The 16,675-nt window shown below is 41.0% G+C and overlaps 1 protein-coding gene across 11 annotated transcripts in view, besides 1 other annotated feature; it reads right to left on the reverse strand.

The window, feature by feature from the left end:
• DAB1 (DAB adaptor protein 1) overlaps positions 1–16,675 on the reverse strand; it is a 1,551,949-nt gene that overhangs the window by 207,671 nt on the left and 1,327,603 nt on the right. The gene's annotated exons all lie outside the window — the stretch shown is intronic.
• Positions 13,268–13,562: a silencer, noted in NCBI's record as "tiled region #9062; K562 Repressive non-DNase unmatched - State 23:Low". NCBI's record gives its function as "represses a minimal TATA promoter and a strong SV40 promoter by Sharpr-MPRA in K562 cells {active_cell/tissue: K562}" and the evidence as "EXISTENCE:reporter gene assay evidence [ECO:0000049][PMID:27701403]".

Genomic DNA, 16,675 nt, shown 5'->3' on the forward strand with positions numbered 1-16,675 from the left:
AGAGAGGCCAGGTCTGTAACTAAGATCCGTTTACCTGCATTCACTCTGTAATAAGAGAAAATGGAAAGAGGAATTAACCATTAAATTACCAGCTGAATTAGAATTAGAAATTGTTAAGGTGGGAAGATTTACTCACTGAAATACTAATTCTGAACTGTAGGCTTCGAAAAATAAGATGTAGTAGTTATACCCTCCATTTGGATCAGCACTTTACAGTTTAGAAAAGCATTTTCACATCCATCCATTATTTCATTGCAACCTCCCTGAAACCCTGTAATCAAGTTATCACACTGGTACCAATTATCTTTTTTCTGTACAAATCAGATCATGTAATTTCCCTTCTTTAGTAAGTTCAGAGGAGTCCTGTTGCTCTCAGGATGAAGTCCAAAACCAAGGCCACCATATCTGAACTTATCCCCTCTTCACAACTATGTCTTCTATCATTCATTCATTCTCTGGTAATTAACACATAGGCACAGTTCTAGCTTACCAAAAATTTCCAGTACAACAAAGGAAGACAGTCACTTCAGATAAATGCATGTTAGTAACTCCTGAAAGGGGGTTTAAGTTGAAATCTATTCATTGGATTCTGAGTTAGGCAGATGACATGTGCAGCAGCAGATTGGGGTATAAAGCACAGATGATTGAGTAACAGCAAACAGTGGGAACAGAGGAACACAAAAAACAGCACCATTTCTCTTAGCCACAGCCATACAGGATAATTGCCCCATAATCTTTCACACCTCCAAGTTTTGGACAATCTAACAGAAAGATCCCTCATTCTTTCTCCACTAGATAAATTCATTAATCCTTCAAGTCCCCTCTCACTTGTCATTTTTCTTTGCTTCCTCAGCTTCTCCATTAAGCTTTGTTTTTGCTTGTACATCCATTTCTTCCTACCGAACCATAAGCTCCTTGGGGACAAGGAAAGTGAAGTGTGAGCTTAATACACAGTGGGTGAGCAGAGCAGGGACCCAGTGCCCAAGACAGAAAGTAGGGGGGTTTTGGTGAGTGGGAACCAGTGGCCCACAGACTAGCTGCCATGACACTGCCCATCCATGCTGCTGCTCTCAAAAATGGCATGTGTGACAAGGACAGCCAACTGAAAGCCCACCTGGATTAGGCTCTGAGCTAAACTTACTGTGGACAAATTGGCCAGTGGGGGTTCTTGTAACATCCCTGCTTGAAAGTGGAGAACAGGTTCATGAGTGATTTGTTGGTGATAGTGCTCATTGCTTTTGTGACCTCTGCACTGGACTGCATTGTCTCTATTCTAATCCAAGCCCATACTCATGTGTTTTTCAACTGTTCTGTCTCTTGGTGCCTATTTGCTTGAAGGACATTATGCAAACTGTACCGGTTCCGGACAACTGGCCTAGACAAGGAGCTAAGACCTCTTTGATGTGGCTCAACCTCTTCTTAGTGTAGTGTTTTTTGTTTGTTTTGTTTTGTTTTGTTTGAGACAGAGTCTTACTATGTTGCCCAGGCTGGAGTGCAGTGGCACAATCTTGGTTCACTTCACCCTCTGCCTCCCAGGTTCAAGAGATTCTCCTGCCTCAGCCTCCCATGTAGCTGGGATTACAGGTGCCCACCACCTCTCCTGGCTAATTTTTGTATTTTTAGTAGAGATGAGGTTTCACCATGTTGACCAGGATGGTCTCAAACTCCTGACCTCAAGTGGTCTGCCCACCTTAGCTTCACAAAGTGCTGGGATTACAGGTGTGAGCTACTGTGCCCGGCCTGGAGTAGTATTCTTTAAAAAATGCCAGCAGATTTTTTATTTCATATGAAATCATATCTGGAAGCTGGTTTTCTTCTGCAATTTACGTAACTTGGAAATCCCCAAATCTAAAAAAAGCACAGTTATTTTGAAATGGGAGTGGGGGTCATGGTAACCAGTTACTCAGGCTCTTCCCTGATCTCTCACACCTACGCAGACCCTAAGGCACCTCCACAGACCTAAGATTCCACAGAACACAAAATAAAAACACTGGTCTAGATTTAAAAAAAAAAAAAAAAAAAGGACTTGTATAGATAAACTCTAAGAGTTGACATCAGCTGGTCTATCAGATTAGCTCTCAGTTTGGATCTAAAATATCAAGGAAGACTTAGATTTGGCATCATCTGGGTTTGATTTCTGACTTGGGCATGTATTCAATAGCATGAACTTAAAGGATGTCATCTCAGCTTCCCAGAGCCTCAGTTTCCTTATATGTATGGGGGAAATCATAATAAAGACTTCGTTGGAATTGTGCTGATTAGATTAAAATGTACGTAAAGTATTTCACATAATAAGCAAACAACAAATATAAGGTGAATTAGCAATTGTGATTATGGCTGAAGTGCTATTTATTATTGCCATTTACTTTGACTAAAGTATTCTTTAGCTCTTTGTGATCACTTGTAGGCCTAGAAGGCTTTGAAAAATGACAATTCTTCTTCAACCTCCACCTCCATTGAAATACCAATAGCAATACTAATTTTAAAGAACTTTCAACACAGGGCTAAAAGATGATTGAAACAATTTCTCAGATGAGCCACTCACCTTTGGAAAATAAGGCTGTTTTGTGGGAAATTCAAGCTCACCCATTTGAGAGTGTTAATGGAATTCCAGTGAAAAGGGCACTCCTCTGAAGGCATTGGCCTCCTTTGTTTGTTCTCTTATTATTGCAGCATTCCTGTTATCAAAGGCATAAAGGGGAGGCCCATCTGTACCCAACACAAAGGAGAGAATTCCTGAGACCAATCTAATGAGAGGCAGGGTCCCTATGAGCCTTGGAAGCCAAAACATCTCGGGACATATGGTTTCCTGAAAGTCCTACCCCAGCAGTAATTGGCTGATTCATTCTTTCTTTTACATATACACCTCAAATACTTATTGAGCACCTGGTAGTGAGTCTAGAGCAGTGGACAAAATAGGCGAAGTCTCTACTCTCTGAGCGTAGCCATGGGGCAGGCAGGAAGGGGTCAGAAAGGTTCTCGGCACCAGAGTCCCAAGAAGTAGACAGAAGACAGCAGAATCACAATTACCAAGGAGGAAAGTACATTTTTATAAAAATATGGGCTATGAGATCAGCAGCTTTACTTACTTGAAAATAGAACTAAGAGTGATTCATCAACTACTATGTGTCAGAGACTTTGTAGGATGCATAAATACATCATCTCATATAATTTTCATAACAACCACACTAGGCTAGGTATTATTTCTCTCGTCTTACAGAAGAGAAAACTGATGCTCAAAAGAGGCAAAATTCCTTGTTCAAGATCACACAGCTAGTAAGTGGCAGACCTGAGACTGTCAGATCTCAAAGTTGAAGTTTTTTTACTAGGGCTTACATCTCTAGCAAACAAGCTTAACAAACCTAATTTCATTAATATGTACAATGTCTCCTAGTGCATTCAAACAATATAGACCAAATGACTGCCACAAAGAGAAATTAGTGGATCTACATTTAGAAACCACATGTTTTTATTGGCTCTTCTCTTTCTCTCTCTCTTTTTAATGCTCTCTCCAACACCAATTCACTTTATTCTTTTCAATAAGCATTTGTCCAATTTAAAGTCAATGAAAAATAATGTACATTTTTCAACAAGTATACATTAAGCCCTGCAAAAGTGCTTATATGCTATTTAGTGCTGAGGGTGCTGGAGCAGGGAACACATTTGAGTATGTCTGTAATTGAATTCCAAAGGGGTTAGCAGGAAGCTGGCTTTGTTCTGCAATTTAGGGAACTAAGAGCTTGTTAGAAAGGCTTTGGAGGAGAAGAGGAGGGAGGCAGGGAGAAAAGGAGGGAGAGGGATAGGGAAGAATGCTTAGTAAGGAGAACCTCCCTCCACAGCCTGTGGCATGAAAGGAGATGGTATCTCCCTCTACCAGACAGGGCTGCACTTGGCAGTCAAAAGATTTGGGTTCTATTTCCAGCTCCACACAAATTCCTAGCCCCCACTACCTCATTGATAAGATTTGTAATATGGAAACAGTCTATGATTCTATTAAAAAAGGCAGTGACCTAACACCACTGGGCTTATTTTTTACCTCCCTTTTATACATAAGTTAAAATCTCAGGTCGCATGTGCCTCCTCGCTGTCTCTTCCCATTTGTTCTTCTTACTGAACAAATTGGTGCCATTTACCCCAGTTTGGGGCTCATGGTTCTCTCTTTGCTCAAAAACGGAGTTGAAGCTTAGGTCTGAGTTTCACACTGTTTCTCTTGCTTCTGGATATTAAAATCCAGATCCTTTTGGTTCTTTTGCTGGCCAGTGTCTATAAACTAGAACTGAGTCCTAAGCAAGGGGCTTCATCAAGAGGCAATATGTAGAAACAGAAAAGGACACAGGCGTTTTGGAGTCAGAAAGACCTGGAATTAAACCCTGATTTAGCCCCTTTTTCATCTCATGTGTAAAACAAGGGTGTGAGTGTTATGCCATGTATATGATATGTGACACATCCCAGACACTTAAATGACAAACACAACTCTTCTTTTCTTCTTTCTTTCTCTTTCTCTTTCTTTCCTTCCTTCCTTTTTTTTTTTTTTTTTTTTTTGGAGTTTCGCTCTTGTTGCCCAGGCTGGAGTGTAATGGCGCAGTCTCGGCTCACTGCAACCTCCGCCTCCCAGGTTCAAGTGATTCTCCTGCCTCAGCCTCCCGAGTAGCTGGGATTATGGGCATGTGCCACTGTGCCTGGCTAATTTTTGTATTTTTAGTAGAGACAGGGTTTCACCATGTTGGTCAGGCTGGCCTTGAACTCCTGACCTCAAGTGATCCACCCGCCTCAGCCTCCTAAAGTGCTGGGATTACAGGCGTGACACACTGCTCCCAGCCCACACTCATTTTCATTATTAACAAATAGCATTTGCTCCAGATATCGTGAAAATGTAGATGATAAAACTTTGAACCCTTCAGTTCATGAGTTCCCCTAAAGAAAGAGCAGAAAATACTTTCATGTTCATTTATAAAAATGATAGAATAGATTACTGTAATTCATACCTTATTTCCTTTCTTTTTTTTTTTTTTTGAGATGGAGTCTCGCTCTGTCGCCCAGGCTGGAGTGCAGTGGCGGGATCTCGGCTCACTGCAAGCTCCGCCTCCCGGGTTCACGCCATTCTCCTGCCTCAGCCTCCCAAGTAGCTGGGACTACAGGCGCCCGCCACTACGCCCAGCTAATTTTTTGTATTTTTAGTAGAGACGGGGTTTCACCGTTTTTAGCCGGGATGGTCTTGATCTCCTGACCTCGTGATCCGCCCGCCTCGGCCTCCCAAAGTGCTGGGATTACAGGCGTGAGCCACCGCGCCCGGCACCTTATTTCCTTTCAAAGAGAACTCAACTGCCTCTCTAGATAGTAACTTCTTCCAGCAAGGTGTCAAGTCCTGGGATGGGCTATGTATTCATATCTTAAAGGGCTTGATTTTTATAAGTTTAATAAAGGCTCAGTTCAAAACAAGTTGATGGCTGACTTGTCAGGTCACATAAAAAGTGTCTATGAAGATCAAAGACCTTGAAATAGGCACAGTGACCTTCCTGGAACCCAAGGTGGGGAAATACTTCCTGTCTTAGTTTGAGCTGCCCTAAAGCAGGCCCTGAAATAAGGATTGTAATGCAAGTAATTTATTTGGGAGTTGCAAATAACACTGTCATGGGAGTGAGGAAACGATATAAGAAAGAGAAAGTAGACCATAAAAGGTGCATCATTAAGCCAGATGCCAGGAAACTGAAAAGCAGCATAAAACACACTCCTCAGATTTTTGATCCCCAAAGGGTGAGGGAGTTGGGGTATTTATACACTAATTTCTAAGAGTCATATGTCAAGGGCTGCTCCCAAGTATGTCAAGAACCTTAAATGTCTGACCTGTGCTCAGATCAGCAGTGGCCTTCCTCAGTTTTTGGGAAGCCAGTTCAGAAATGCAGCTATGAGCAGTTAGCACTGGAATGACAGGAACCAAGGGATACAGTGAGGGATGAGCATCTGCTCCCCTTTCAAATGAGGTTTCCTGTTTAGGTACCATGGATCACACTCTTCCCTTAGGAACAACAGCCTTTCAGACCACCTCACCTGGCTTACTCCTCCTTATTCTTCAGCAGCTGTCTCCTTAGGCGTATATGTAGCATTCCACTAAAACTATCTGTACCTCAACCATCTCTGTAGTTGAAGAACCTAAAATAGTATCTGGCACATGGTAAGTGATGAGTAGTTATTTTTTAAAATAATGAATCCATTCTTCCTTGAAGGGACTTTAGGGCCAGGTACTGTGGCAGGTGATTTTAATGCATTTTCTTTCTCCAGTTTACATGATACACCTATTTATTAATTTTCATCCCCATTTTGTAGATGAGGAAACTGAGGCCTAGAAAAGTTAAGAGCTAAAGACATGGCAAGACTGAGATTCAAATCCACAGAGATTCCAAAGCCACCTTGACCTATGCAAGACTGTGAAACAGAAACCTTGAGAATTACAGACAGTGCGTTCAGGCCAAGACACAAGGAATTTGGACTCTATTGTAAGCTTCAGAGATAAATGCACTGTGTCACAAGGTGTTGCTGGAGACACACAAGGCATACAGTTCAACTGCTAGTTTCTCCTTGAGAAGGTGAGCTGCAGATGGCATGTCAGATTCACCTATGTCCATCACTTGGCACAGGGCCTGGCTTAGTAAATATGTGATGGAGGCTTACTGAACAGAACAAGCAATTGAGTAAATAAGAAATAGATGGAAGAATAAACTGAGGGGATGGGAGGGCCATGAGGGATGGTGATTCTTCAGGGAAGTTGCATTACTGCACTGAGTGTTTCTAGCTTGGGTTTTTATTCATTCTAACAGCATTTATGAACACTACTATGTTTATAGCAAAGTGTGGAAAGCCTAAACCATATGCTTTAAACACACTGATTTTTCTGCTTAAAAATATGCTCTTCCGCTGCTGCAAAGACAGTTAAATGAATTGGGGGAAGTCTGTTCTTCACGTTGCAAACTGGCTATTTGCAGGGATAAAAGCTTCCAGTGAACACTGTTCCTCTACTATAAGTTGTGCTTGCTGCTGTCAATAATGCCCTTTACCTAATCACAAGAAAAGATGGATGCCTGGTGGCCAGCTTCAATTCTACTCCACACCTTTGTTTTTCAAGGTAAGAGGACCACCCTGTAATATAATTCACATCTCCCATCACTGAGTTGAACAGATCTGACAGCTAACATTTTGCTGCTTTATTTGACCTTAATCTGCTCTTGAACTTTGTCTACTGTTACTGGATAACCAGCAACTGCAAAGTGAGAGAAACCAATGTGTGTAATGCCTAGTTCATAATACTTCGCCCTCTCCCTATTGTTTAATTCAATGGCTCTCAATTGTTTCTCTCCTCTGGTCCCAGTATTTGTATCCTCCCTCTCCCCCTCACACACACACCAGTCCCTCTCTCAACCTACCTGGTCTACTGTAATAGGAACATAATGAAATTTCACAGGCAAAGGTATTTATATGATTACAGAAAAGCCACATGGCTTGGACTAAAAAGACCTAAATTGAAATCTCATTTTAGCTTCTTACAAACTGTGTGACCTTACTTAGCCAAATGACTTAACCTGTTTAAGCCTCAGTTTCCTCATTAATAAAATTGAGATAATAATGCCTAACTTCTAGGATTATTATGACAATTAAATGGGAAGGCAGAAAAATGTCTAAAACGGTGCTTAAAATCTTGACCTATGTTAGCTGCTCTCATTAACACCAGTATTAATATTAATAAGCATTGTGTTGCTAGAGCCATCATTATTGGATGGTTTGGGGATGTAACATTTCCATTAACATTTTAAAGAATAATGTCTACTGCTATGATTTTTAAAAATAACCAAAAGCACACTTGCAAAGGACAATAAGATAGAACAGTCATTTAAAAATTTTCTGTCATATAATTCTTAAAAATAAAATGTTCTGCTGAAAAATGATGAAACTCAAAAATAATGCATAAAACATTTCAGCCTGTGTCCTGGTAGGTAAAGACAGCAGGGGCCTACATATCCCAGTGTTGGAGGGCACAGAAATTGAGGCATAGTGATTTCTTGGTAAATGTTATAAAAGGGCCGTGTCTCCTAGACTGCTGAGTCTCATTAGTGGTATACCAAAGGCCTCATTCATCAACTTACTGTCTCAAAAAATAATCTGCATTTTGAGGAACACTACAAAAAATGTACCTAAACACACACACACAGATAAAAGTTCATCTCAATCCAAAGGCTTATCAATAAATTTGATGAAAAAGGCCATGTAGTTGCAATCGAGTTCATTTGGTTTCAAAAGGAAGGCAAAAGAGAGGGTGTTGACATTGTAGCAGGTACTGAGTTTAGTTACCAATAGAAAATATTTTAAAAATTTAAAAACGGGGCCAGATGAAATAGTTTTCACTGCCTATGCATGTGTATGCATGTATATGAATACATCCATACACAAATAATACATTTTACTACCAACCCATTAAAGTTAAAACATCAATCTTCATCATATCAATTTCAAAATATTAGACTCTGCCATTCTAATCTGGTATTGATAAGAATGAACAAGTCCTGGAATTTTACACCTGGGTGCATTTCATTTTGTTTCTCTTCAGTGACAGAATTCAATATGACACAGCTCAGTGTGACAGCATCAGGCTGAGACTGTCACCTTAGGGGCTTATACATCTTTAAAATTCTCACAAAAGTGAAATTGACTGACAGCGAAGCAAAATGATGCTTTTAACTTGAGTTGGAAGATCAGAAAAGTCAATGAAAACACTCAGAGTTCGTTAAGGCTCTTCAGTGAAGATCTTTTGGAGGAAACAGCTGTAGCCTCCCAAGTACTAAACTGCTGCGGTCTGGTGGGACCCCAAGGACCATCTTGAGGGATATGGCCACACAGAGGCCATGGTGTTAAAAGTGATACAAGTAGAGTGCTTGTATCACTTTTGTAACAAACTTAACAAAGAAAGTCTGTTCTCTTCTCATTCTATCACAGGTATGGTATGATGTATAGGGAAGAGTATGGGGCTGGGAAGTGAGAGGTGCTGCATTCAAATCCTTGCTTTGAATCATCACTTTAAGGATGGGTGACCCAAGAGACACCACTTAACCCTTGTGTCTCCATTTATTTACCTGCAAACTGGGATGATGGATATACTTACTTCAGTGTTGTGGAAACATCAAATAAAAAATGTTATATGTCAAAACTAAGTTCCAAAGGGCTACACAAAGTTAAGATTTTATTGTGTACAGTCAGCCCTCTGTAATCACAGGTACCACATCTGAGGATTCAACCAAATGTAGACCAAAAACTTTAGAAAAAGTAAAAAACAATAACAATAATGCAAATAAAAATATAATACAGCAACTATTTATAAAGCCTTTACATTGTACTAGGTATTACAGGTAGTCTAGAGATGATTTAAAGAATATGGTAAGATGTGCATAAGTTGTGTGTAAATACTGCAACACTTTATATCAGGGACTTGGGCATCTGTGGATTTCAGTATCTACAGAAATCCTGGAACCAATCCCCCAAAGATACTGAGGAATGCCTGTATATATTTATGCAATTTTGTTTTTACTGTGGCCATAACTGTTGCTACAATAGACCTCTACACAGGCAGAGCCAGAGAATGCATGCATGCTATAATTTTAAGAGTGAGTAAGATTTAACACTAAGTGGTCTGCCTCCTAAACCTATATTCTCTACAAGGCAGCATTCTGTATCTGGCCATGAAGTCACAGAGCTGAAGGGATACCTAGCCCATCCCCCTGTTTTACGAATGACCAGACCCCCAGTGAGGAGAAGCAAATGGTCCGAGATTAGGTGGTTAGAGAAAGGGGCTGGATAAAGACAATAATGATTATGATATAAAAACTAAAACATAATTACTGGTAATATTACATGTATATATTATTTCCTTTTTTTTTTTTTTTTTTTTTTTTTTGACACAGAGTCTCACTCCATTGCCCAGGCTGGAGTGCAGTGGCGCGATCTCAGCTCACTGCAAGCTCCACCTCCTGGGTTCATGCCATTCTCCTGCCTCAGCCTCCGGAGTAGCTGGGACTACAGACGGCTGCCACCACGCCTGGCTAACTTTTTGTATTTTTAGTAGAGATGGGGTTTCACCATGTTAGCCAGGATGTTCTCGATCTCCTAACCTCGTGACCCACCCGCCTCGGCCTCTCAAAGTGCTGGGATTACAGGTGTGAGCCACCGCGCCCCGCCTTATTTCATTATTTACAAAGCACATTCATATGCACTAATTCATTTTGATTTTCATCTTGACAACTTCCTATGAAATAGGTAGGGTTTTATTGTTACCTCATTTTAAACCAAGGGAACCCAGCATTCAAATAGGTGCCCTGTCTTTCTCAAGTTTAAGAAGCTAATCAGTGTTAGAGTTTGGACTCAAGGCTGGATGTCACCCCAGTCTCAGAACCCTTCTGCCATCCTGCGCTGAGCTGTAAGGTACAGAAAAGGCAACACTGACGGCCTGAGAATCTAGCCAGTGAAGTGTGGCAGGCAGGGGGCTGCACAGAGGCGTGCTATGGTGCAAAGGACTAGAGGACAATAGAGGCAGAAGGTGCAGTGAGTGGGAGGCGAGTCTAGGTCCTAGTGGACTGTGCTGCCCAGGGCCCAGCTGGGTGATCTAAAGCAGCATTGTCCAAAAAAAAGAAAGAAAAAAGGCAAGCTACAGATAGAATTTTAAATGTTCTAGTGACCACATTTTAAAAGGTACAAAGAAATGGGGGATGGGGGGTGGGATTCTATTAATGTATTTTCTTTAACCTATCTTAACTATTATCATTTCAACATACAACCAATATAAACAATTACTTAGATTTTTGACAATCTTTTTCTTTTTTCAGTACTAAGGCATTGAAATCTGCATGTATTTTGCATGTACTACACATCTCAATTTCATCTAGCCATACATCTGGTGCTCAACAGCCACATGTCACTCACGGCCACCAAAATAGATAGTGTAGATCTAGAGATAGGGTCAGGGTGGACAGAGTCCTGGCCTTTGGGCCCTGGGCAGATCTAGAAAAAGAATGATCCAAAAAACACTTTCCCTACAGTTCATCTCAAACTACAGTCATACAAAATGCTGGCTCCACCAGGCCCCAGAGGAAGTTTGCCATAATAATCACGTTTTCTTTCTACCTCCATCTTTTTCTCCTTAGGTGAAGAATTAAGGAGAGGAAGAAGAAAACATCAGAACTGCACAACAAAGTTTGGGTAGCATCACCCTACAGGCAGGTAACCTCTTTCGGACCCTGTTGCTTTACCATAAAATGAAGTAGTTCAACCAACCCAGGAACATTTCAATATTTCACCATTTTCTCTTTCTTTTGCTTGCTTGTTATTTTCTTGTCCCAATCTCTTCCTCCCAATCCACTTTCTCTCTCTGGTCTTCTTTCCCTATAAAATTCCATGATTCATTAAGCATGTACTTAGGCAAGCCCCATGCTAGGCACTGGGGTCTTAGACATGAGTCAGATTTGCTGTTTGCCCTTAGTAGTCAGGGAAGCAGGTATACCAAAAGGTAATTGCAATGCAGTGGGATCTATTAAGTATAATGCAGTCACTGAAGAAAACACTTGTCTTAGTCCTTTTTGTGCTGCTAAAACAAATACTTGAGACAGGACAATTTATAAAGAACAGACATTTGTTTCTCACAGTTCTGGAGTCTTGGAAAGTCCAAGATCAAGGGGCCAGCAGACTTGGTGTCTGGTTAGGGCCTTCTTGCTGAGTCCTCACATGGCAGAAAGTGAAAAGTGGAACTATGTAAAGCTTCTTTTAAAAGGGCTTTATTCTCTTTAATGAAGGAGAAGTCCTCATGGCCTAATCACCTCCTAAAGGCCCACCACTTAATACCATCACATTGGCAACATCTGAATTTTGGAGGGGACACATTCAAATCACAGCAACCCTCAACTGCCCTTTGGTTTGAGGTGGATCATAAATAGATTAATAGAAGAGAGATTCTTGTCTGTCACACTACAGTTACCTAATCATAATTTCATTTCTCAAGTTTTTTTAAACCAGTATAAGCAAGAGCCATCCAGAATAGTCACAATGAGTTGATAAATTGTAACCCAATAGCAATTGCTATTTTTGTTGCCCTACCTAGCCTAAGAGGAAGGGAGCACACTTTCTGTTTCACCTTAGAAAAACAAAACAAGCCGGGCGCAGTGGCTCACACCTGTAATCCCAGCACTTTGGGAGGCCAAGGTGGGTGGATCACAAGGTCAGGAGATCGAGACCATCCTGGCTAACATGGTGAAACCCTGTCTTTACTAAAAATACAAAAATATTAGCCAGACGTGGTGGCGGGCACCTGTAGTCCCAGCTACTCAGGAGGCTGAGGCAGGAGAATAGCGTGAACCCAGGAGGTGGAGCTTGTCGTGAGCTGAGATCACGCCACTGCACTCCAGCCTGGGCGACAGAGCAAGATTCCCTCTCAAAAAAAAAAAAAAAAAAAAGAAAGAAAAAAGGCAAGAAAAACAAAACAAAACAAAACACATGGTGAAAATTGCTGAAGGATTCATTAAATTTGAGAATGGAGAGAAATGTAAGATTCCAGACTGGGAGACAATGAACTAAATAATCACTTGAATATTGTTCACATCCCAGGACCTAACAAAAAGCTCTTTCATGACTCAAATTCACCCTGTGAGAGTCCAGTTATCCCACAGAGACTGTTGTATTTGGGGTTTGATCCTGAGCTGCAATCTCACAGCTTCCCTCACTGTGATGAATGCATAATATTAGTTTGATGTGAAAAGTGTTGGGAAAAAGCAATGTTTTCCAAATCAGAGTAAAGGCAAGCAGGGAAGAATCTGCAAGGAGAAGCTTAATAAAAGAAACAGTTGCTCCCTGTGAGGACTTGCTAAAACAAACCATTTCCGTTATTTGACACCGCATTCAGAACATGGGAGAAGAGGAAACAAAGTGCCACTCAAGAATGCCAGCCTTAGCCTTGATAGCTTCATCTGAAAATTCTGCACCCTGAATTATGTCCTATATTAACTCCCTGCAACCAGAAACTTTCTGAGCACACAGTCTTTGAGTTTGAAAAAAACGTCTTTGTGTTGGACCGTGAATTTTGTGTTCAAGCGCTCTTTATAGAAATCTACCAAATCCCCATTAATCCAGTGTCTAGTCAGCTCTGACGATCTTTAATAATGATTCTATAACCTTTCTTAGAAGGTCATCCCACTTCGAATGGAAACACAGTGATCACTGAAAGTAAAAAATTGCCTCCCTCCATCTCCTTTATTCCTCCCCAACTAGACTTAGGCAGGCACTTGGTTTCTTATCCACTTTTTTCCTTCGACATGAATTCAGACTGGTGCTATGGAATGTCCATGCATTTCTGAAAGCCCCTATTTGGAAAAGGCCAAGCTTACACTAGTAGCTGTGTGTGAAAGGGCCTGGGGGGACACAGCCTCCTCTTTGTGATCAGCATGTGCATAAAGGACTCCGTGGGAGACCCCACTGGGATCTGAAGAGTAGGCCCCAACTGATTGGAGGACCAGATGAATCAGACCAAAGCAGGCAGACAGGAAGGAACTAATCAGAATTAATTCTGGAAATAGATGTCTTTGGCTTGCTCTTTGCTTTCTACACATTAATACTGTGGTTTGCATGGGTGTGTTGGGACCACTTAAGTTGCTACTCAGTGACAAATCATGGCCTTTAAAAATCTAGTATGTGGACTTAGATTTTATTCTTCAGTTTATTAGCTGTGTAGCCTTAGGAAGGTTACTTACCTTATCTGATCCTTTCGGCCTCCTTACCTATAAGGTGGAGTGAATGTGCCTCTCTGGAATTGCTATAAGGGTAAGTGCACATATGGCTTCCAGCAGGGTACCTTTAGCACAACAGGTAGTCAATTAAAGTAACTCCTTTATATAATCATAAAGAAGTATAATTCCACTGATACTCATTAAGTTTGTGGCATTATCCCAGGTCCTATAAAGTACGGGAAAAGTTATAGGTATACCCTGGATATCCAAGATGATGTCATTTTCAAACATTCCCTTTAGTTTCCCTATAAGTAAAACTTGTTATTATCAAATGAGAGGTTGCCAGTTTTGGCTCTAAATAAGATTGTCACTGTGGGTTGAGGCAAGCCAGGTCCATGTCCTTAAGGAGACTGTAATCTAGTTTAGAAGAAAACGCATACTCAGAGAGACCTATAATAAAGTACAAGATAATCACAGTCACTATATTTACAATCATCCCTTTTATTTATATGCCACTTTGTAGTTGAAAAGGTACATTTAAATAAATTTCCTTGCAAGGTAACCTTGCAAGATATTTTATTGTCATTTTTACAGACAACAGAACTTGGAAGCAGCAAGATTCTAGAAACTGCCCATAGACCTACACTACTTGACGTAAGGCAGGACTGGGATTTCTACTCAGGTTCTCCTCATTCTAAAACCAGTGCTTTTTCTGACTTCCTTTCTAGAGAGGCTCTAGTAGAATTTCAGGCTGTGTAAATTTTATTCATTCAACAGCTATTTACTGGGCCATCCAGGGACTTCATGTCCTGATATTATGGTGAGTTTTCCATCCAATCACCTGCAGGGTCTTACCTCCTGGGTGATTTTGCTTAGTTTCATGACCTACAAAACTGGCCTTCTCAGGATGGCACAGATAACGATATTGAAAGAACTGCCTAAGAAAATAAATTATCTTTCAGAAGGGATGGGATCACTCTTAGTTTCCTCCTGAAATACCTATTATCTCTATCACAGTGCTTAAATGGCTTAGTATCTTAATCAACTTCTTCAAACTCTTTGAAGATAAGGATATTTAAATTAAAAATATGTTCTTTAAGTTCTGCATCAAAGTGTATTATAAAGTCTGGTCTTTTCTATTGCTTGGTCAGCCTTATGGGGCCTGAGGGAAAGTCAGCTTGCTAGAATGAATTGGGCAAGGTGAAGGACCTGAATTATATGTCCTTATCGGTCCAAAAATGACATTGAGCTACCTCCAATTTGTGTTATCATAGTCTCCAACTAGAGGAAGCCAAAAAAGAAAACGAACACAAATAAATACTCTGAAAAAAAGAGAAGCTTATCACTGAAACACATCCCTATCTTTTACACAAAAAGTCCATGTAAATGGAGCAAGGTGACCAAAATCTCAAGAGTTATTTGGCAAAACCTCCAGTCTAGGTGACTGGAACCACAGGGCCACAGAATGCACTAAAGCCAATAGTCATTTTTTATTTTCCTGATAAAACTGTTCACCCTAATTCATAGTTCTGATGGTGACACTGTCTCATTCAGGGATATCCACTGACCCATCAATCTGAAGAATAAATTATTGAACTTGCATTTAAACTCTAAGATCTGATCACACCTACCAATCCCCCCACCCCACCCCACTATCCAGCTACACCTCCCTATATACCTTCTACTCAAGCTGCAGGGGCGTAATCACCGTTCATTCATTTTCATTCATCCAAACAAGGATACAGGTGTCAGATACTACTAGGTCCCAAGGAAAAAAACACAAACAGTAATCAGTGGCCTCCAGGAACTCACAGTCTAATGAGGGAGACCCATAATTATGGAAACGTGACAAGTACCAAAATACTGCATTATACCATGCTGTAGGAATGCAGAGAAGAATTCCTTGAAGAGCCGTCTGAGTTGTGCCTTGAAAGTTAACTATGGTATCTACCAACCGGACGAGGTTGGGAAAGCCGTGGAAGGCAGAAGACACAGCACATGCAAAGGCACCGAGGAAAGGGAAAGCATTCCCTGGCTGTGTGTCCTCTTGTTTAAAGCATTTATCTATCCACAACATCTTCAGTATACTGGCCTCTCAAAATCCCACCTTAAGGCCCAGTTCAAACAACATCTCTTATAAATAATCTTTGTTTAACATCCTGGGCAGAATTATCTTTTCTTTCCTAAAGCTTTCATAACCAGAGCAGGGTTTGGTGGCTCGCATCTGCAATCCCAAACTTTGGGAAGCTGAGGTAGGAGGATCACTTGGGCTCAGGAGTTTGAGGCCAACCTGAGCAACATAGTGAGACCCCCATCTCTAAAAAAAAAAAAAAAAAAAAAAAAAAAACAGAAAAAAATTAGCCAGGTGCGGTGATGATGCAGCAGCTACTCAGAAAGCTGAGGTGGAAGGATCGCTTGAGCGTGGGAGGTCTAGGCTGCAATGAGCCATGATCATGAACCAGGGTGACAGAGCATATATAAATGCTCCCATAATCCATATTTTAGCACATTCCATAGCCTGTTCTGTGTTCACAGTGACTAGAAAAAAAAGTAACTAAGTGTCCTCAAGAGAGCTGGGTGCAAAAGTAGGTGGCAGATGAGAAAGGGCAGCTTGGATAAAGCAGCTTTGGTGAGATAAAGGATGCAGGGCCTTAGACCTATTTCTCTCTGTCAAGATGAGGACGGCCAGCAGCGGTGAGGGGAGGGGCTTATCTAGCCACAGCAGAACATCCTGCTCTGGTCTGGAATTATACAGGGGGAAGATAAAGCTTTGGAAGCTGGGTAAAGGCCTAACAAAAACATTCTTGATCTGTAAATAATCTAAGCAAACCACACTAAACATTCCTTTTTCTATCGCATGGATAGAGGATAGTCTCTGTTTCTAAAGTAGATTGGGAGCCAATACCTTAGTAGTTATACAGTTTGGA

Source organism: Homo sapiens, chromosome 1, assembly GCF_000001405.40.
Source record: "Homo sapiens chromosome 1, GRCh38.p14 Primary Assembly".
NCBI classification, from domain to species: domain Eukaryota; kingdom Metazoa; phylum Chordata; class Mammalia; order Primates; family Hominidae; genus Homo; species Homo sapiens.